At 38.2% G+C, this 23,430-nt stretch overlaps 1 protein-coding gene across 41 annotated transcripts in view; it reads left to right on the top strand.

Moving 5' to 3' along the window:
* DENND1A (DENN domain containing 1A) overlaps nt 1-23,430 on the top strand; it is a 550,469-nt gene that overhangs the window by 118,043 nt on the left and 408,996 nt on the right. For 23 of the 41 annotated variants that reach the window (NR_148208.2, XM_047423625.1, XM_047423623.1 and 20 more), the window contains one exon: nt 19,454-19,497. The exons of 6 other annotated variants lie outside the window; for them this stretch is intronic. Coding sequence is in view for 32 of the 35 variants with exons in the window: in XM_047423625.1 (XP_047279581.1) it covers nt 19,454-19,497 (44 nt within the window). In the remaining 3 variants the exon portion in view is untranslated. Of the gene's footprint in view, nt 1-2,608; nt 2,971-19,453; nt 19,498-23,430 lie in introns of those variants that run through there. 12 more of the 41 variants (XR_007061334.1, XR_007061335.1, XM_047423626.1 and 9 more) reach the window with 9 other exon arrangements.

The raw sequence follows: 23,430 nt of genomic DNA, 5'->3' as shown, positions 1-23,430 counted from the left end.
AGGAGGAGGATAATGGGATAAGGGGTGGAAGGTGGTGCTTTAGCTATACCATATAGTGTAGATGTGTAGTAGACTGTATCATTCTAAGCTTGTTAAGTACACTCTATGATATTCACATAATGACAACATTGCCTAATGATGCATTTCTCAGGGTGCATTCTCATTGTTAAGTGACACATCACTGTATTTCAGAGGTCCAATTACAAATTATTAAAAAGGGCAACTTTCCATGTCATTTATAGTTCTAAATCACTTTATTTTAAAAATATATTGATGGATGTTTGGCAAAGAGGCAAACCCACAAACCTTTTTTATTTTTATTTTTGAGTTGGAGTCTTGCTCTGTCGCCCTGGCTGGAATGCAGTGGTGCGATCTCCGCTCACTGCAAGCTCCGCCTTCCAGGTTCACGCCGTTCTCCTGCCTCAGCCTCCCAAGTAGCTAGGACTACAGGCGCCCACCACCACGCCTGGCTAATTTTTTGTATGTTTAGTAGAGACGGGGTTTCACCATGTTAGCCACAATGGTCTTGATCTCCTGACCTTGTGATCTGCCCGCCTCAGCCTCCCAAAGTGCTGGGATTACAGGCATGAGCCACCATGCCCAGCCGTGGATGCTTTCTTGTAAGTGAAATTGGTGGATTATAAGGCATGGAAATTTAAAATTCATTCTATTTGTGCTGCAGAAAATTGTACCAAATTACTTTCCATCCAGCCATACTCTTAGTTATCAATTATAGGAGACTGCTTATTTCCCCAGATCCTTCAGTCTCCAGATGTTTCCCACACTTCTAACCTTTGCCAGTCTTATGGGGAAAAATGACATGAGTTATAAGATTATAAAACTTGAGCACCTATTTGCATCCCTTTTTTGGCATCTTTCAAGATGGTAAAGTGGTGGATCTGGCATTCCATCATTTTGAGAAATGTGTTCAACTTTGGAGGCTGTGAGTAGAAGAGAGCAGATTGAATGCATAACAGGGTCTAGTCCAGGCTTCAAGCAAGATGGATGAAAAGGTTCAGGGATTTGGCCGGGCGTGGTGGCTCACACCTGTAATCCCGGCACTTTGGGAGGCCGAGGTGGGTGCATCACCTGAGGTCAGGGGATCAAGACCAGCCTGGCCAACATGGTGAAACCCTGTCTCTACTAAATGTACAAAAATTAGCCGGGCGTGGTGGTAGGTGCCTGTAATTCTAGCTACTCAGGAGGCTGAGGCAGGAGAATCACTTGAACCCGGGAGGCAGAGGTTGCAGTGAGCCAAGATTGCACCACTGCACTCCAGCCTGGGTGACAAGAGCGAGACTTCATCTCAAAAAAAAAAAAAAAAAGGGATTTAAGTTCAAATTGAAATGTTGGCTTCCTAGGTAATTCTAGATCAAGTTTGTCCAACCCATGGCCTGGGGCTGTATGTGGCCCAGGATGGCTTTCAATGTGGCTTAACACAAATTTGTAAACTTTCTTAAAATATTAATAGTTTTTTTTTTCCTTTAGTTTATCAGCTTTCGTTAGTATGTTTGTTTTTTTTTTTTTTTTTTTTGTAGAGACATGGTTTTCACCATGTTGCTCAGGCTGGTCTCGATCTCTTGAGCTCAAGTGATCCTCCCTCCTCGGCCTCCCAAAATGCTGGGATTACAGGTGTGAGCCACCATTCCTGGCCTTTTCTTTCTCTTTTTAAAAACTTTGTTTGTGTACCTGCCTTCCCCAATACTGCACATTTCCTGTGTGCTCTGCTTCTCAAGCCCTGGCATCTCACCTGTCAGTCAGCATGGATGCAGAGTTCAGGCGCAAGAGACAGCCTGAGGAGTTCCACCCAGAAAAGAGTTGCCTTGCGACATGAAAGAGAGACATGATGGCCAACACCATGAGGCCAAAACATGAGATGATGGAGGAAATGCAAATTGAGGAGGAGAGATCTTTTAAGATAGAATTACCCCAGGCCAGTAATCTTTGTTATTCCATATAGGTTTTACTGGTCCTCAAAAAGGAGGTCTTTACAGAAATGCAGATTTTACATTAATAGCAAGAGGGAGGAAACCCCTCCAGATAATGAAGCGAAAATCATGAAGCAAAGTCAGGCAGACAGGACAAAAGGAGCCTTTAAAATTCTCATTGTTGACCAGACCGGTGGCTCCTGCCTAAATCCCAGCACTTTGGGAGGCTGAGGTAGGCGGATCACTTGATCAAGTTCAGGAGTTCGAGACCAGCCTGGCCGACGTGGTGAAACCCTGTCTCTAGTAAAAATACAGAAATTAGCTGGGCAGGGTGGTGCATGCCTGTAATCCCAGCTACTCTGGAGGCTGAGGCGCGAGAATTGCTGGAACTCAGGGGGTGGAGGTTGCAGTGATCCGAGATCATGCCACTGCACTACAGCCTGGGTGACAGAGCAAGAAGGCATAAATAGAATGACATTTAAGTAGCCACTGCTGCTTAAATTTAGAATTTTTCTCCATTGAAAAATCTTTAATAATTGTTTTCTTTCTTTTGTGAGAGGCTTGTTAATTCTACAGAGTGGTTAGCCACACAGAAAACCAGAAAGAAGTACTTTTCCTCAGGGCCATTTTCCTTTATAGGATACTTATAGGCATTGATGTTTTACCAAAGCAATGAGTTGTCTCAGGCTTTTAGATCATAGAATGATAGAATTTTAGAGTCAAAAAAACTCAGTAAACATTTTTAGTTTATATGTGAGAGAATTCAGGTTTAGAGATGTATTTAAGATCAGATAGTGGCAGAATCTAGGTCTGCTGATTTCCAGTCCAACATTTTAAGATTCATGCCAAATCTTTTAAATATTATAATGGCTATTGTGATTTTCTGAAAGCTTACTAAAAATGATTGTGTGCTATGAGTCTAATATTGTTCTAGGCATAGCAGATAGGAAGATAAATAAGTACTCGGAGGAACATGCAGGGGGCAGTGCATCAGTCATGGTCCAGCTGAAGATAATAGAAACCATCGTGCCGTTCCTTCTAGGTTTGTATCAGAAAAATGGGTTCCTCCTGTTGCCTCCTGTCTCCCCACATCCCTGAGCTTTCAGGTCTCACTAGGTGGATCTGACTGGCAGAACCTAAATCATACCCAGGATCTTAGTTGCAGGGGCTTTTTGGAAAATAGTTTGTAGCTTTCCAGCTTCTGTGATACTGGAGGGCCCACAGAATGTTGTGAGAGAGATAGAGTGAGCCAGTCTGCAGAATGCTTAGGGTTAACACATAGGACGGGCACTGAACCTGCCAGTGTGGGGTTGTTGGCTTGAGAGCTTTCACTGGGAAGTATTATAGAACCTGAGCTGAGACTAGAAGGATGGAGTTGAAGATGTCTCACCTTTTCTAAGGAACTTTGATGAGTGGATTCCTGTTGCTAGTTTTTTTATCAAGTCTGTATAACAGTAATTCTCAAAGTGTAGTCCCCCAGACCAGGGGCGTCAACATCACCTGGGAACTTAGAAATGAAAATTAGGCAGGGGGATTGCTTGATCTCAGGTGTTTGAGACCAGCCTGGGCAACATGGCAAAACCCTGCCTCTACAAAAAAATACAAATATTAGTCAGGCATAGTGGCGTTTGCCTGTAGGTCCAGCTACTTGGGAGGCTGAGGCGGGAGGATCATTTGAGCCCAGGAGTTTGAGGCTGCAGTGAACTGTGATCCTGCCACTGCATTGCAGCTTGGGTGACAGAGTGAGACTGTCTTAAAAAAAAAAAAAAAAGCAAATTATTGGATACTATTTTAGACTTACTGAAACAGAAACTGATCAAGCCCATCAGGTGACTTTGATGCATGCTAAAGGCTGATAACCTCTGCCATGTAAGCATAATGATTAAGATGATAGGTTTTTTGGTGTTTTTTTTGGTTTGTTTTTTGTTGGAGACGGAGTTTTGCTCTTGTCACCTAGGCTGGGGTACAATGGCATGATCTCAGCTCACTGCAACCTCTGACCCCCGAGTTCAAGCAATTCTCCTGCCTCAGCCTCCTGAGTAGTTGGGATTACAGGTGCCCACCACCACACCCGGCTAATTTTTGTATTTTTAGTAGAGACGTGGTTTCACCATGTTGGGCAGGCTGGTCTCGAACTCCTGACCTCAAGGGATCCTCCTGCCTTGGCCTCCCAAAGTGCTGGGCTTGCAGGTGTGAGCTACTGTGCCCGGCCAAGAATATAGGTTTTAAAGTTAAATCTGAGTTTGAATCTTAGCTTTTGCATTTACCATTGGTGTGATTATGAGCCAGGAATTTCATCTCTCCTGATCTTCTGGGGATAGCAACACTTACCTTGTAGAGTTACAGAGTTGTGAAGCTTAAGTGGCATGACATGGACTATGCTTATCACAGTGTGTGACACAGAATAGGCATTCCATGAAGTCTGTTGAAGGAGAGTTGGCTGGAGTGCCCCTGAATTAATCTATCCCAGGAAATTTAATAAGGGCAATTCAGATAGAATTCAATTCAGCAAACATGTATGGAAGGCAGCCTACTCTGTGCTGTGCACTGTGCTTGAAGTCTGTGGTGCCTTTATCTGTGGCAAGAGCACAGATGGTAAGGAGACATGGGTTCTGGTCATTGGAGTGGCTTATTTTACTTACTGGGGAGACAAGTACTTAAATGAAAGAATTAACAGTCGAAGACGAGAAATGATTAGGTGCATAATCAGGTGCTTAGTCATTTATTATGCTGCCAAAGTAGCGAATATTACAGAAGCTTAGGGAGGAGACCAGTCAAATGTGGGCTGACGTAGTCAGGGATGGATTCCTGGAAGAGGCAGATGGGGACATTATAAACTGTTGTAATGTAAATCTAATTTCCCAGGAACATATTTATTTGCAAAGTTCATTTAAAAAATTATGAATCTTATTAAAAATATAGAAAATTCAGAATATAAGGCCAAAAAAAATCACCAATAATCCTACAACTCACTCATGGCTAGATATTTTGATGAGTTAAATTTTAGTCTGGATTTAGAACATTAAAAAATGATAACTGCTATTACAGTATGATAAATCTTTGTATTTTGAGTTAATTCTTCATAATGCAATGATGTATTTCCACATGTTATGGTGATGTAAATATTGCATCACTTGAACTTATTAACACTCTTTCAATTTTTGCAATGATGCTTGAAAAAATTTTTAAAAAGTACCTACATTTCAGACTATTTCCTTCAGATAGATTTTAAGGTTTGGAATTACTAGGGTATAGAGTGAGGACATTGATAATGCTTTTGGTACATGTTGCCAAAAGAGGTATTTGAGAAGAAAGGGTATTACTCCCTTTATTCCTTCATTCCTTCTTTTTTTCATTCAGTATTTATATGCTAGGCCTTTTTCCAGGCGCTGGGGATACAGTAGTGAACAAAATAAGCGAAGATCCTTGCCTTTATAAAGTGTATAATTTAGGAGGGGAAAACAGATAATAAGTACAGGTTAAGCATTCCTAATCTGAAAATCCAAAATGCTCCAAAATCCAAAACTTCCTGAGTGCTGATGTGATGTCACAAGTTACTCTGAACATGTTATTTTTTCACTCTATTAACAGTATGTCAGGGCTGGGCACGGTGGCTCACACCTGTAATCCCAGCACTTTGGGAGACCGAGGCGGGCAGATCACCTGAGGTCAGGAGTTCGAGACCAACCTGGCCAATGTGGTGAAACCCCGTCTCTACTAAAAATGCAAATATTAGCTGGGCGTAGTGGCGGGCACCTGTAATCCCAACTACTCGGGGAGGCTGAGGCGGGAGAATCGCTTGAACCCAGGAGGCAGAGGTTGCGGTGAGCCAAGATCACGCCACTGCACTCCAGCCTCGGTGACAGAGCGAGACTCTGTCTCAATAAAACAACAAACAAACAGTATGTTGGCCGGGCATGGTGGCCATAATCCCAGCACTTTGGGAGGCTGAGGCGGGTGGATCCCTTGAGGTCAGGAGTTCAAGACCAGCCTGCCCAACATGGCAAAACCCCATCTCTACTGAAAATACAAAAATTAGCCAGGCATGGTGGCGGGTGCTTGTAATCCCAGCTACTTGGGAGGCTGAGGCAGGAGAATCACTTGAACCTGGAAGGTGGAGGTTGCAGTGAGGAGAGATAGTGCCACTGCACTCCAGCCTGGGTGATAGAGCGAGACTCCATCTGAAAACAAAAAACAACCCCCCAAAACCAGTATGTCATATTTTTTACTGTTAGGTACTTATATGTAAATAGGTACAAGAAAATAATTGCTTATTGGTAGCATATAAATTCACAGTTGGGAATGATGGTGATGCCAAACCACAGATTGTCCACATGGGTGGCTAAGACAGTGACATCTTTGCTTTCTGATGGTTAATTGTACAAACTTTGTTTAATGCACAAAATTATTAAAATAATATATAGGATGGTGCAGTGGCTCCCACCTGTAATCCCAGTGCTTTCGGAGGTCAAGGTGGGCAGGTCACTTGAGGTCAGGAGTTTGAGACCAGCCTGGCCAACACGATGAAACCCCGACTCTAATAATAATTCAAAAATTAGCTGGGCATGGTGGCAGGCGCCTGTAATCCCAACTACTCGGGAGGCTAAGGCAGGATAATCGCTTGAACCCAGGAGGCAGAAGTTGCAGTGAGCTGAGATCATGCCATTACAGTCCATCTTGGGTGACAGAGTGAGACTCTGTCTCAAAAAAAAAAAAAATTGTATAAATTACCTTCAGGCTATGTGTATATGGTATATATGAAATATAAATTTTGCATTTAGACTTGGGGCCCATCCTCAAGATATCTCATTATGTATATGAAATATTACAAAATCTGAAAAAACACTTCTAGTCCCAAGCATTTTGAAAAAGAGAAGCTACTCTACCTGTATATAATATGTTGCATGGTGAAATGCACTAAAGAGAAACATAACCCAGGAAAATGGAATGAGGAATGGTGGGGATAGGAAAATTATAAATTTAAATAAGGTGATTAGGGAAGGCCACATTGGGAAACTACCTTGTGAATAAAATCTGATAGCACATGCCTTATTCCTTGATATTTTATCAGACAGAGTGAATTGTGTGGGTATAAGCCATGAAGTGGAAGCATGGCATGCATGTTTGAGAAGCAGCAAGCAGACCAGCAAGGCGGGAACAAAGTTAGGAGAGGAGAGTTAGGAAGTGAGTGCAGAGGTATGCTGGTGAAGGGAGGACGTTGTAGAGGAGGCCCTGTATTGAGTTTTACAGGATTCCTCTAGATGCTATTTGAGAACAGACTACAGGAAATTGGAACCAGAAGCAGGAAAACCTGTTAGGAAGCTATTGGTAGTTAATCCAGGTGGAAAATGATGGTGGCTTAAATCAGGGTGTTAGTGGTGGAGATAGAGTGAAATGGTCAGAATTTGAATATATTTTGAAGATTTAGTTGGCAGGAGTGGCTGATACATTGGCTCTGGGATGTGAGAGAAAGATCAGGAGTTCCATTTTGGATATGTTAAATTTGAGACGTCAAGTGGAGATGTTGAGTAGACAGTTAGATAAATGAGTCTAGAATTGGAAGAGATAGGAGCTGGAGAAATAAATTTAAAATTGATAGTGCATATTTGAAGTGATGGGACTGAAAGAGGACCAGCAAAGGAAAGAAAGTCAAGTCCAAGGACTGAGTTCTGGAGCTCTTCAATAGGGAGAGATCAGCAAGGAGCCTGCAGAAGCCAGTGAGGCAGGAGAGTGGGATGCTTTGGAAGCCGCCTGAAGAAAGAAAGTGACTCCAGGAGTGTATTGGTCCATTTTCATGCTGCTATAAAGACATACCCGAGACTGGGCAATTTATAAAAGAAAGAGGTTTAATGAGACTTACAGTTCCACATGCCTGGGGAGGCCTCACAATCATGGTAGAAGGCAAGGAGGAACAAGTCACGTATTACATGGATGGCAGCAGGCAAAGACAGAGCTTGTGCATGGAAATTCCCATTTTTAAAACCATCAGATCTCATGAGACTCATTCACTATCACGAGAACATTGCAGGAAAGACCCACCCTTATAATTCAATCACCTTCCACGGGTTCCTCCCATAACATGTGGGAATTGCGGGAGTTACAATTCAAGATGAGATTTGGTTGGGGACACAGCCAAACTGTATCAAGGAAGAAGCAATCATGGGTGTGAAATTGTGCTTGTAGATCAAGACTAAAGATTGATAATTGATGTTAGCAGTAAAAGAAGGTCATTGGTGTGGCTGTTGGTATGTGAGTAGTTTCAGAGAAGCGGTGAGGTGAAAGCTTGGTTGTCATGGGTCCAAGAGAGTAGGAGGCGACAAAGTGGTGACTGTGGGTATAGACACTGTTTCAAAGAATATAGCTACAAAGAAAAGGAGAGAAATGGGGTGGTAGCTGTTGGAAAGTGGGCTTGACCTTTTAAGAAATATCTGTAGAAATAACAGCATGTTTCTATGCTGATGGGAAAGATCCTATAGAGAGGTAAAATGAATAAAACAGGAGGATTGGTGGAGCTCTGTCTGAGTTGGCAAGAGGGGATGGAGTCCTCTTTCACAAGTGGACAAAGGACCTTTGCAAGGGTCACGTAATAAGACGAAGGCAGAGTCTGTGGGGCAGAGGTGGTGGGAGAATAGAGGTGGTGGTGGGGCTTGTGGGAGTTCTCTTCTGATTCCTCTGTTTTCTCAGGGAAGTGGCCAGTAAGGGAATCAGTGGCAATTGAGGTTGGAGAAGATTTGAGGGAAGAGAAGAAAGTATAAAATAGTCACCAAGGAGAGAGAGAAAAAGAAAGTGAATGAATGAAGGAAAATGTGTTATAATTACTGAGTTGCATTAAAGCTCACTTACAGTTACTAACCACAGATTTAAGGTGAGATTAATCGGCATAGCTGTGTGTTTTTGTCCAGCCACATACCTTAAACTATAAGGTGTCAGGAGTTTCCAAGTATACATGAAACAGCTATGAAAATGGACCCCCTGTTAGCTATATGGGTGCAGGCGGGTAGTTGGATTTAACAATGACTGGAGTTTGCCAAGAGAGGATGACAAAGAGGCACAAGGCAGATGAGAATGTGTATAAAGGAACAGTTATAACAATAGAATTTAAGCTATGTAAGGAGAATCATGTAGACCTGAGGTGGATCAAAGGCAGTGAAAAGGGCTGAGTGTGGTGGCTCACGCCTATAATCCCAGCACTTTGGGAGGCTGAGGAGGGCAGATCACCTGAGGTTGGGAGTTAGAGACCAGCCTGACCAACACAGAGAAACCCCGACTCTACTAAAAGTACAAAATTAGCTGGGTGTGGTGGTGCCTGCCTGTAATCCCAGCTACTTGGGAGGCTGAGGCAGGAGAATCGCTTGAACCCGGGAGGCGAAGGTTGCGGTGAGCCGAGATCGCGCCATTGAACTCCAGCCTGGGCAACAAGCGTGAAACTCTGTGTCAAAAAAAAAAAAAAGGCAGTAGTGAAAAGATGGATAGAGTATATGCCCCTGTGGAATAGAAGAAGGAAGAGTGCTACAGGGGTTGAATGGAAAGAGAGAAGGTGGATCATGGTTGGAGACTGAGATGCTTGAAATTTGCAATTACTAAGGGGATTTCAATTATTGGTAGTGGTAGAGTTTAGGGTGTGACCGTAGGAGTAGAGGGTGAGATTGTTGTGGGAGTGGTGTTAGAGTGAGTGGCAATGCAGTATGATCCCCAAGAGTCAAGGATGAGGAATAACCCTGGAATTAGTAGGTGACAACAAAGCAGAATGGTGGTGGTGGTGTTGGTGTGGTAGGGAGGAGGGCATGGTCTGGTGACCAGAGGTTAAAATCTAGGGTTTTGGAGAGTAAGGAAGGTGAATGGCCTGTAAGTGGCTCTAATGAACAGAGGCCATCTATCCCACCTCCAGGCCAGTGGGCGGAGAGGTAGGGAAGAAACATCCAACTCTTGAAAGGACCCCAGAGGAAGTGAGCATTCGGTTGCAGTAAGAAGGTAAGGATGTAAAGGGAGCTTAGAAGAGGTTGCAAGTTTTGCTTCTGGCTGACCAGGAGTGCCAAAAGCAAGTTAGTTTTGTGAGTTGGGGAGCCATAGACGTGAGTGTGCCAGTTTTGCTGTTCCTGTGGCAACCTCATTAAAAATTCAGTGTACTTTTGATGGAAGACATAGTTCTTTGTCTTTTGAATTTTTAAAAAGTGTTGGTATGATTGACTGTTAATTCATGTAAGAATATACAATTGGTCACATTTATGAGTGATGCCTAAGTGCATCTTTTGAAAGATTTGGATAGTGGGAAGATGAGAAAGGTGAATAGAGCATGTCAAGTTTTGTGGGAAAGTTAAATGATTAAGCTGGCCAGGTTTAGGGATTTATATTTAAGACACAGATATGAAATTGGCTGGGTTGGTCTTAATGTCTGCACTAAGGATTGTAGGCTGTTAGGATAGCTTTACTACATAAAGTTCTTAAAACATTAAAAATGGTAAAGGTCCTCAAAAAATTAATGTAGAATTATTATATGATCCAGTAATTTGACTTGTGGATATATATGCAAAAGAAGTGAAAGCAGGGACCTGAATAGACATTTGCACATGCATGTTCATAGCAGCATTATTCACAATAGCCAAAAGGTGGAAATAACCCATATGTCCATTGATGGAATAATAAGCAATGTGGTATCTACATACAATGGAATGTTACTCATCTGTGAAAAGGAAGGGAATTGTGACACATGCGACATCATGAATGAACCCTGAAGACATCATGCTAAGTGATTCCACTTATATCATGTAACTAGACTATTCAAATTCATAGAGACAGAAAGTAGATTGGTGGTTGCCAGGGGCTGGGAGAAGGAGATAATGAAGAGTTGGTGTTTAATGGGTTCAAGGTTTCAGTTGGGGAAGATGAGAAATTTCTGGAGATGGATAGTGGTGATTGTGGCACAACAATGTGAATGTACTCAATGTCACAACATGGTACTTAAAGATGGTCAAAATAGTAAATTGTATGTATATTTTACTACAACAACAAAAGTCTCAAAGGACATAGGCACTGCTTCTCTAATGGTACAGATAAGGGCTAGGCAGCAGTGGCTTGTTCCCTGGAAGCAGGGTGGAGTGGGGAAGACAGGATTTTGGTATAAGGAAGGCTCTGTTTGATGGGCATGTGCTTCCCCTGCAGAGATGTCCGCATTGTCTCTCCTGTATGAATGGGAACTCCAGCATTGGGGTTCTCATTGTGGTTTAGAACACACGATGAGAACATGTTTTCTTAAGTAGGAAGACATTTTCTCTGTGTTTTTATTTACTCTATTTGTTTAGCAATTTTTTTTCATAGATGAGATAAGGATAACTCTAGCCTTCAAAATTATTCTAAGTTTTTAATATGAATTCATCTTTTAAATATTGTATTTACTAGTTGAATAGAGTGCCAGTTACTTTGGAGTCATTTTATTTATATCCTGAACTTGGCAGAGGACTATAAATAAAGAAATTGGAAAGCTGTCATTCATAATCCGCTAAGGCCTGTTTCATGAAAACATGTTGTAGTTATTTGTCCAGATGTATTCTTATTGTTGAGTCACAGTAATGACTAGAAGACAGATCAACAGGAGGATGTAAATAAATAAAGCCAAAAAGAAAAGCCAGTGTTGGATTCTTTGGGGCCTGATGGATTCAGGCTGAATCCCAGCTCTGTTACTTAACTCTGAATTTGTTCATTGTGAGCCTCACTCTTCTTATTTATTAAATAGAGAGCTTCTACTTACCTGGAAGAGTCATTTTGATGAAATAGGATAAAAATTAAGCCACCTATGGCAATGGTATACCTAAGAGGTAGCTGGTAGTATTATAATTGTTACTGCAAAAATGTTTAGTGGGACTCTTCCTGAAACCCAGTATGCAAACTTAGAAAGCAAAGGAATTAGCAGAAGGGTCCTTCAATTTATACAGATTCACCTCAGGGTTTCTGTAAATCTGGGGGAGTCCCTTGTGTATTTGATGTTTACAGATCATTAGCAAAACAGATGCCAGGAGGCGAATAAACTGTAGCTTAAAGATTTTGGAACTACTGACAATGTAGAGAAAATCAGTTTCTGATAAAGTTATAGTGTTTCTAAGTAAGCAGTAGAAGGCAATGGGAAAATTTTAATTGGGTTTATAAAAGTTTATTTCAGGAACACATGTATTTCCAATTTGAGGCACACCTATACATCTGTAGTCATTGAATTTATAGTGCTTGCTTATTTCTCCATTGGGGTTAATAATATAACAACAACTAATATTTATTGTGTGCTTACGACATGTCAGTGTGATCTTTAGGAAGTCTGTAGCATTCAAAGGCTTGTTTTCATTTGGATATTTGGAAATTGGCCTTTTATCCACTTGGAGACACAGGGTGTTTAATGAGTTCATTTTGTTCTATTAATTCTATTACACTCCAAATATTTGTTCGGTATTTATAACAGTTAAGACATTTTGTAGGAGACAAAGTTAAGTAAGACATGGAACTTGGCCTCATAACAGACCTATTCACTATATTGTATATGCTTCAGAAGTGGGCGTGCCGTGTTATGGGATGAGCCCTGATCTAGTCCTGGACTCTACCCCTGGCTCTACTACTTCTTCGTGGAACCTTTTTCTGCCCCCTTAGGACAAGGCCAGATGCCCCTGTGCTGATTAACTCCTAGTATCACACTTACCAAGCCCCATGGTACCTGCTTGTTTAATTCTGTGTGTTCTCCATTAGGGCTAGACTGTAAACTCCTGGAGGGTGAGGACTGTGTCTTATTTATCAACAGGGCCAGCCACAGCAGAGCATTTGTTCCACGAGTGACTACTAATTTTCTAACTTTGGACAAGTGATAACCTATTGCTTTAACTATGATAAAATTGATTTGATAGTCTCTATAGCATAGCTTTGTCAGGAAGGTAAAATCAGAAAATTTCTCTAAAATGCCTGTCACAGTGCCTGGCAAATAGTGGGTGTTCCATCAAATAGTTTTTTTATATTTGAATAAATAAGTTATCTCTTTTCACCAAATTTGACACATATGATACATCTATTTATGAAGACCATATGGAGTGATGTCATATTTGTAATACATAAAGGGCACAGCTGTCGTTTAGGCAAAGTATAAAGTAATTATTCATATTGGCATAAAAATGTGACACTTCAGGTTACTCATTCAAAAAAGTGGGATAAAATGAATCCTAACTCATAGAGAAATTACATGGAAGCCTGAGATTATAATCATAAAAAAACTCATCTATAATTATCTATCAATTTGATAGATTTTAGGAATTGTTTCCAATAATTTTGAAGTAATTTTAAAAAATTCCAAATATTTAAATTTAAGTAATAATGAAAGTTGAAAACTAAGATATTCAGTAGAGAAAAAGGTAAATGTAAGTGAACATATCCTTTTGATTTTTTTTTTTTTTTTTTTTTTTTGCCTCCAGCACACCCTACCCTTCCTTTTGCATTTTAAAGCTCCCTTTGGAATTTCACTTATGTTTGATTTTTGGATTCACATAGCATAAATTTGTTTAAGGATCAGACTTATATTCCTTTTGTAGATGAAGTTATAAAAAATATTTCAAACTATCAGTAAGTAGTGGCATTTGCTGGTTAAAATCCTTCCATATTCTCCAGAAAGAAAGATGAAACTCCCTAGATTTTACTGTATAATGTCAATGGACTCATTATTTGTACAACAGCTGATGTATTTAGGACTTGTTGATTCACTTAATTGGTAACTGTACTACATTCATAACTTCAACAACTGAAAACAATAGGTCAGTGTCTGCTGTTTATGCATAAATAGTCACATCGGAGCAGGATATGTCTGAATGGCAGAATATGTTAGTCTGAGGAGGAATCTGGCATGTGAATGGCTCCATTGCTTGCCATACTGAGGTGGGTTTTTGCTGTCTTTCCTTGAATAATGTTATTTGTGTTTTTATTATGGGTGTTGATGGTTAACTGTTCCTATGTTATCAGGCTGGCTGCTGTGAAATTGCATTTGATTATACTTTAAATGCCAGTGTTGGGGGAAAATGGTAGACTAGACTCATGGTTAAAAATTGGGATGATTTAAAGTTTTTATGTCTTACAGCCTTCATGTGCTAAAGCAAAAAGTTACACCTAGAATAGATTTTTTTTAAATAACAAATTTCATTTGTACGTGGAATCCAAATAAATGTTCATTTATAGTCCTTCAAAATGATTTTTTTTCTAATTTATGAATTAGACGTCTTTCAAATTTTAGAGTCAAATCTGCATTTTAGAATCAGTATTTTTTGAAAAGAGTAATTTTTAATTAAAAAAATTCAAAAGGAAAAACAACCTAAACCTTTTTGTTTCATTGTCAAAAAAAGGAAAACATGCTGGTGATTTTTAAACTCTGTAAAACATTTCAAACATTCTTTTCAAAAATATATTATTTGTAACAAGTAAATTTTAACAATCGAACAATATAATTTACTAGAATAATTGTGTTTAGTTATTACAAAATGCTAACCTAATGAGTCAGGTATTTTACAATGTAAAATAAATGAAGCTGAGTTTTTATAGCTATAGTAAGTTTACTAGTGTCCTTGAAACGCTATATTTAATGCAGTCCAGTTTGCGGTCATCTTATCAAGAAACTTTAATTTTGCATAATACAAAAAAATTTTCTTCTTGAGGATTAAAAGAAAGCTTATTTCTGGGTGTATTTTGGGGAAAATTTGAGCTTGTTCTCAAACTATACAACTTCTTAGACTATTTTCTGAAAGTCTGCATTTTTAGTGTATAAAATTTGGAAATGTCATTAGTGAAAGAGCAGTGTAGTGGACTGTTATCCTGTTTGCAGCATATTCCCATCTTCTCATCTGGAAAATTAAATCTGATTACAGCTTGGATTAACATTTATGGTTGTGGGGAGAGGAAGATAGTATCTCAAACTCCATGAAATTGAACAATGAGATTATATGGTGTATAGCTAATGTTAAAGTCCTGCTTCTTAAAGGGCAGAATTTGTAATTGTAAGCTTTAAATATGTTCAATATTTTGTCTCTTATTGATTGAAATATCCTAGAGATAATGATTGGGTAAATTCAGCGGGCATTAAATGTAATGTTTTCTGCCTTGAATACCTAACATGTTAAAAGTGAAAGCAGTGTAGATTCCCGTGTTAACTGCTACATTTGCAGTTTCTCTTAAATTTCCTAAAAGAGGTCCTATTATAGGAGATGATGGCGTTTGGTTAGTATGCAGTTGTTAACGTGTTTTGTACAAAGTGAAGTCGGTGTATTTTTTAATCAGTTTAAAAATATGTCATGCCTTGACTCTTTAAATGAAGTCATTGGTATGACAGAGGGAAACAGGAAAATAATTTGGTAAGATGTGTGTGTGTGTGTGTGTGTGTGTGTGTGTGTGTATGTACACATAGGAGTTACCAATGTACAAATGAGCCCTCATACGTAACCACAGCACTTTTATGAATTATTTTGCATTTCTGTTGTAAAAGATCTGTCTACCACGTTTTCTAGGAACTTTAAGCCTAAGGCAGAACTCAGGGTTTTTGGAGCCTGTGTAAAATAATTTATAGCACCTTTCCAGTAAGTCTTGCACACACTCTTATTCTATTAATTAAACATTCTGTAGCAATCTGGTATATCTTAAAGATTTAAAAGTATGTATAGTAGAAGACTGGAAAACATAGACTGTTGAGATGGAAGAAGATTAGCCTTTCTTAAAAGAAAAAATGTTAGACATGTTTGTTTAGGAGATCAGTTTTTTCCTGCTGTGAAGACATAGCTTTTTAAGCATGGTCATGTTCTGTGCCTGAGTGAGATTGTGCTTTTGGGAGTCCTATACTGTGAAATGTGTGTGTTCAAATATGGAAATGCTTCTTGTGGCCTTCAGTGAAAGTGATACACACTTTTCTGTGGGGACAGCCTCTTTGATGGCCATGGTGCTGTGACATCACAATGACATGATACGAAACCTTGTCTGAGAGCTACCTGCCTCTTTGGTTAAGAGATGCATGGACTCTATTAGGGCGTACATATTATTAGCAAGATATTTTAAATACAATATTTTTTTCCTGTTGAAAAGTATTTTCCTGGGAGTTGATGACATTGATTTTTAAGTTTGTGAGTTATCTATTGTCTGAAGTAGGAGAAAGTTGTTGAGAGAAAAGGATAAGGAAAGAAGGGTGTGCTATGTACCACTAGATTCTTAATTTTCTGTCAGCAGGACAATTCTTGGGTAAAAGCTTGACATACGCTGATTATTCTTACTGCCAATCGCCTAAGCAAATTATGTTACTTTCTTCCATGGTAGTACTCTTCCCTGCAGATTTTTGTGTTGAAAGTTAGCTGTTTGATAACACTGCATTTGATGATGAACTTATGAATGTGAGAAGGTGTTTTGGAACGTTAGCAATTATAGCATTGAGTGGTGGATAAAGAAATAGATATATAAATATTAGACCGATGCACAGTTTTCCAGTGTATGTTATTTTCCATATAAAGATATAGAACATTTCATAAAATGTTCCCAGACCATTTAAAACTCAAAGAAATGCAGCTGACGCAATGAAATACATAGAGTACTTGTAAAAACATACAGACACGCAAGTGGATTGCTGCCAGACAGAAAATTTAAAGGCGGTTTGCTTAACTGCAGGGTGCTAGGTTTTGTACATGTGCCATGCTGAAACTGTTAGTAAGGCGGGTGTTGTGTTGCTTGAGAAAAGCAGATTGTATTTGGACCTTTTTAACTCAGATGTTTCCAATGTCGATATTTTGGTGACATTATGGCATTGCGATTGACTCAATGTGAAAAAAGATTTCAGCCTCCTGTGTTAGACATTTTAAGAAAATTCAAATAAATTATTTGCAGTTTTTGTGTTAATCTTTCCAAAATGGCTTTCGTAGTTTTATGAACTATCGGACTGAATCTTTGAGCTAATTGAATGGAACTTGATAGGTTGACTTGGTTTTAAAAAGCATTGCTTTTCTTTCTTTTTAAAAATGTATTATATTGCTTTGGTGAATGTTAAAGACCTATGAAGTTTGTTTTTTGTAAATGTTAGTGGCCTTAATGAAAAGAAACCAAGAGTTGTATACTTGAATCATAGTAACTAATAATGCATGTATTCTCTTGGAACGTTATTGTGTTAAAACCTGGTAATTTCATTGTAGAGAGTCTTAGGACAATTGAAGGAATCTAATTGATGGCGTTTATATTGCTTTCCATTGAGGCAGTATTGGGAATGATACAGTTTGAATGGCCTCCTTCTTGGCATTCCATGGTCATCTTTATCTTCAATGTGTTAAGATAGGTTGATTTTTTTTCTTTTCATTAATTTTCCCATGCTTTTTTCAATGCTATGTTGTATATATTAATCAAAAATATTTTTTAAATGAGTTTATTATGGTTTCTTATTAATATAGTTGACTGAAAAGATTTAAGAAGCATCTGCCACCTAGGAATAAGAATGGTATTTTTAAAAATTGAAGAATATACTACAAATTTTGGTTTCGGACATATAGTCTTTCACAAAATGGTGATAGAAAAGTAGTCTTTGGTTTTGTTTTCATGGGTATTTTGTAGTTCCCAAGAAGCACAAATTACTGCAAGAAAGAGGGCATGATAGTAACGATTGGCATGAAAGTAATTTTTGTATGAAGTTTGGTAGCTGAAGAATAAGTGTTAAACCACATGTCAATTGGAAGAAAAAGAATAAGCCTTAGATGATTTAGTGGCTTTCCCAGCCTCTGTTTTATTATGTCCCTCAGTGGCTTAGAGCTACATTTTTTGGGTCTCTGGACCAAATTTTAAGTTCTGTATGTATGTTTTAGGGATTATAGCCACTGCTCTTTTTTAGGCCCCTTGTTCCCCGTTGTTCACCCCCTTTCCCCTCACTGTACACTGGTAGAGGATTCTTGGGCAACAGGCTGCCCCTTTGTCTCCTGCTGGCGAATTCTTCTCCGCCAGCCTAGTCCTTTTCCTGCCACACTCTTGGTGCCCGCTGGCCTCCTCTCTCACGAGGGCTGAGTCCTTGGGCAGTTTCAGTCCTTCAGGCCAAAGACAGGTCAAGTGAAGAAACTGCTGCCTATCAGGGAAGCCCTGAGTTGGTACTGCAGGGGCATTACTCCAGAGTTCTCTAGTCGGTCTAGGCACATCATTGATTCCTTCCCAGTAGTTGAAGACGAGGGTGAAGAAAGAAATTGATTCCCAGCTTTTAAGTCAAGCAAAATACACGTCAAGAGTTGAAATCACTTGCAGATAGTTTCAACTTTTTTGCACCACTCATTTCGAGAGGCTCTACTTTTGGCATAACCTTTTGAATATTCCTGCTTTTATTATTAGTCTTGTGTTTTAAAAAATAATACACATTGGTTTTAATGACTTGAAAACTGGTATTTCTAGGATCCTAGTAGTTTGTGAATAGGCCCTTAGTTTTTTCCCTTCTTGATTATTCACTGAAGAAATGGACTGCAGTGAACTTTTACGTGGATTCATTTTCACAAGGATGTAAATTAGTGTTTTAGTATGGTGTTTAAAGGTAGCCATGGGTAGCATATATTGTGACCACTGTTAGACGGGAGACCCTCAAATCTATGATTTTCCATAAGCCTTTGAATTGATACATGATTTCTCAAATAGATATTATTCTGACCTCTGATCACTTCCCTTAACATGTCTCAAAGGAATCAAATCTTTTCCTTATTAGAAATGATTGAATGTTTTCCTAATCGATAGTAAATGGAATGCTAATAGCTTTTAATTTGTTCACTTCTGTATTGACTTACAGAAGATGGCATTGGATCATCTTGCTTATGATTTAAGAATAAAGTGATCCCTTTAGTAACTCCATTTTAAATAGGTGATCATGAAAGGTATTTTCTGCCATGTATTTGTATAGTTTCTGAGCAAGTTTAATTATGTCAGCTGGAACATAATTTTTTCATATTTTGTTTACACTGACAAGCCAAAAGCGTTGGTCCTCTTTTGAAGAAAACTTCCATCCAGTTTTATCTGCATTTTCATAAGAGTGTACAAGCATTTTGAGAAGGATATATTTCATTTATTAAAGCGATGAGTTTTGCATTTATTCCTTGAAAGAATTCTCTCACTCCCCCTTTCTCCCCAGTCTGAAACCAGTGCTTAAGGTGGTTTATCAAGCCCACATCTGTAACTATGCAAAGGAGGCTTCTGATTAGAGAAGAAAAGTCAAGCAGATTTAAGACTCATTTTCTCTGGAAAAATATATTGAGGGCAATTTGCAGCTGGCAAGATTTTTGCATTAGGTAATAGTCTAAAGTTAACAGTAGCATCAGGTCTTTAAAATTTTTCTTTTTTATATTTCTGGAGGAGGGTAATGGGAGTGCCTTGCCGAGTCCTTCCTTGTGCTCATCAACATAGCAGCCTCAGCTGCCCCCCTTGGATCCCCTGCCAGGGCTGCTATCATCTTCTGATCAAATATTAATGTGTGATCCTCTGCTTGCTCACTAATCCAAAGCCAATTAATATTATCTGTCAATTATTTACAGATCCTGAGGTGCAGAGGCAATTCCCGGAGGACTACAGTGACCAGGTTCGGAATGCGTAATTAATTTTTTACATGACAAAATTTATTTCAGAGTTGTTCAACATATTATTACTGTTCTTTTTACTGAAAGAGATAAATGAATTTTTAGAAGGGAAGAAAAGCAGTAATTAGGAACCAAAGACAAAAAGTAAAACGTATTGAAGTAGGACTGAAAATATTGGTGCTAGATTTGGGGTGTTTCCTTCAGGGAGAAAATGAACACAAAATAAGGAAGAAAACCTATCACAAATTTTACTCTTCACTTTGAGGTTTGCTACAGTCTACACTTCATTAGGAAATCCTTTTTGCATTGCCTGTGAACTTTTTAAAAAAATGCTATTTCAGGAGTCAAGAAGCAGTGTAACAAAAAAGAGGGAAGAGGGAAGTTTATAACATTTCCTGGAATTTGAAATAGATGATGAAATTATGTGTTATGGTAGTATTGGAAGGAGAAGATGCACGTGCAGAAATGGACTTAAGGGTGAGGGTGGTGCTGATGAGGATAGTGAGTTAAGGTTGGCCAGTTGGCTCTACCATCTTGAATTGACAGCATTCTGCAAGCATAGAATGGGGTAGAAGGAACGATTTTACTCACAAGATAGTGCTGAAGTTCTGATGTTGCTGTATTTTTTATAATTAGTTCTAGGTTATACATTCAGGATTCTAGTTTCTATCTTGAGAGATATTGAAGATGTTTTGTAGCTTTTTTGGGGCACCTTACATTTTTAGTTCAAATATGCAATTTGGTATACTTTTTAAAGCAGCTTTGAAATAAAAGCATTCTTGATTACACTGAATAAGACAACTTTATAAAACCTTTCACATGTGAAATACCATATACAGTAAAAGCATCTTCCTTAAGCACATCTATTTAATTTTTTTATTAAAAGTCTTTGAATGAGGATAAGTACAATAGAATAGAAATACCCAGTACAGTGATAGTAACACCTTTGCAGTGTGTCTTGTTGTATAGAGAGCAAGGTATCTGATACATCTTTATGAATAAAGGGGACATAATGTGACCAGGAATAGAACTGGATAATCAGTATAATGAGATGCTTTGTAATGAGATCTTATAGTACAAGAACCCAAGAGAACTGGTATGGTTTGCTTTGTGTTTGATCTCAAGACTTTTAAATAAGATTTTAAAAAATATTAAAATCTTCTGACTCTGTCTCTTGCTTCATCTTCTACTAGGAGAGTTAAATTTTTATTTTATCTTAAATTTCTATGAGATTGGGCTCTTTAGATTCAAACTACGCAATCCAAGGATTATAGGACCTTTTCATTAATGAATTTCCTTTCTTTAGACAATATATAAAGGCTGGAAAATCTTAACGTATTATTTAGAATACACTTGAGTCCACAGATTTTAACAAAATTATTGTTCTAAAGTCTTGTGTCTAGGTAAATAACCTTTGTAGTTCCATGATCTGAATTCTCAGTGAGAGGGAATTTTATAGGAGAAACTTAAAATAGCATAGTTACCATCTGGGTCTATTCCGTTCAACATAGTTTCTTACTATATCTGAAAGTTTTTGAACAACATGATTTCTTTTTTAGTATAACTTTAAAAAACTGCATGGGTAATATGTTCATGACAAAACATGTAGAAACTATAGATAAAGCAAAAATAAATTTACAAAAGAATGAAAAGAAAGAAAATACAAATCATCAGTTATTATACTGCACAGAGATAACCACTGTAACAATTTGGTGTTTAGCTTTCCATGTTTATTTCCCTGAGTACACATAGAAGTTTGTGCGTTTAAGGAGAGTGTATGTGTACGTATATGCATACACATGTACTATTCTTGCATATGTGTGTACTGAGAGAAATATAGGCTATTATCAATTCCATCATTGTATACAGAGCTCAGTTGACTGATTAGATATTATCTTATGAACGTAATTCTCTTTGCTTTAGTTAATGGATGGTCTTACAAGTATTTCATATATTGAAGTTGGAATTATTAGAATTATAGTAGGAACCTAAATAATAATGATAGCTTTAGTTATTTTAAAGGTGCGCATAGTATAGTAGTATTTGTTTTCTTTGTTGAAATCATTGACATCGTTTTGAAATTTGGAGAATGGTCCTCATGGACCAGAGGTAGACTTATAAGAGTGCACACAACTCAGCCTCACTTAGCAGAGATTTATTTATCTCTTCCAACTTGACACATACGATTTCCTTTTTTTTTTCGCCTCCTATAACCCAAGAAATGATTAATGAAGGATCTACTTTGTTTTGTAGACATTATCTTCAAATTCCCAGAAATATGTTTGAGAGTTGTATCTACTGGGAAAGAAAGTGAGAACTGTGTGTTTTTTAATTTATCTTTTTATCATTTAGGTTGTAATCTTAGTTTTTTCTCCTTCACATTTGTTAAATTATCTTTTCCTACAGTAAAACTATTATAAAGGAATTCTTAGAAATATTTCTATTACATACAAACCTTAAATGCTGAATATGCACTTAATCTCGACAACATTTCTAGTATTAAAACATTTATGATGTAATCCTTAAGGAATATTTGAGATAATTCACCACAAAGTATAGCACTTATTACCACACAGACACACAGACACACACACACACACACACAAATTCCCCCTCCCCCAGTTTTTCTCATTCGCCTAAACTACCAGTGCTTGTTTTTACATATAGTGTATTTCCCATGTACCAGCACATTGATCAGAGACGCTTGCTGCTGCTAGATGTTTTATTCTGTGTGTTCTTTGTACCTTACAGTAAAAGAATCTGTCACAAATTATTGTGGCTCACTGCTTTAGAAACTGAGAAAAAAGGGAGGTTAGATTGACATCTGTGACTGAATAATGATGACCAGCCTTTTGGCTCTCCTTGAGCCACAAAGCTAGCACTGCCTTTAGAGTGGAAAAAGAAGTAAGAAGAAAGGGGAGGGATAAAAGAGAGTTACAAATCTGTGGTCCCGGAGATGTATTACTGTTGGGCCAGTTGTCTGCGTGGGATGATAATCCATTTTGATCTTCTCTGTCTTAATTGTCTGCTAAAGACAAATGGGCAGTAAAAGTTCATCAGTTTCATCTTTTTGCTTCTCGTTTAGAAGCAGAATAAATGATCCATCACTACAGAAGAAGCCTTTCTTTCTGTCACGGAAGTAATGCAGACCCAACACGTTTTATTAAAATGTTTTCCCCTCATTATTTCAGTCCTCTCAGCTCTGATAGATCTTACTGTTTCATAAAAAATGTAATCTGAAATGTAAATAAGGGTCTCGATACAGAAGGAAGAAGTAATGAGCAGCCTGATTGTAATTACTGACAAAGTGATTTCTCTGTGCCCCATTTTTTTTCCTCCTTAAGTTGTCTGTGACACCCTCAGACCACAATGACATCTATGGTTTAAAACCATTAAATCACTGTAGCACTCAATATTTCATTTAAAATCTGGTAAGCCTGCTATCTTTAAACCTGGAAATACAGGCTTTGTTAATTCCTGAAAGTCATGCGTTGCCTATATTTTTTTTAAAAGAAAAAAAAAAAAACAAGGCAAAAGCAGGGGTTTTTCAGAGTTCATATTATTTATTCATCTGCTTTTGTTTAATGCTTAGCTAGTTTAAATACTAAAACATCAACATTGGTAGGATCCTGACTTGAAAAGAATCCTGTATTTTTGAAAAATTTTAATAACAGCTTACTTATGAAATTTTCTTAAATTCTATCTCCCTTAACTGTAATATGACGTAGTCTAAAATGTCTTTTTAGGGTTAAGATTACTAAATTACAGTGTAAGTTTTCAGTTACTTTGGATTTGCATAGCTTGGACTAGATTCTTTTCAGTCTCTTACTGTAACTTTAGGTAATGTGGCTCTTAATAAAAGCCAATTGGAAAATTTTGTTAAAGGACTGAAGCACAATAATAATGTATTTCTTTCATTTCTAGAAATTGGTTTC

The sequence above is a fragment of the Homo sapiens genome, chromosome 9 (assembly GCF_000001405.40).
Source record: "Homo sapiens chromosome 9, GRCh38.p14 Primary Assembly".
Lineage (NCBI taxonomy): Eukaryota > Metazoa > Chordata > Mammalia > Primates > Hominidae > Homo > Homo sapiens.
The sequence above is the reverse complement of the archived record's forward strand: the minus strand, read 5'-3'. Positions and strand labels throughout refer to the sequence as shown.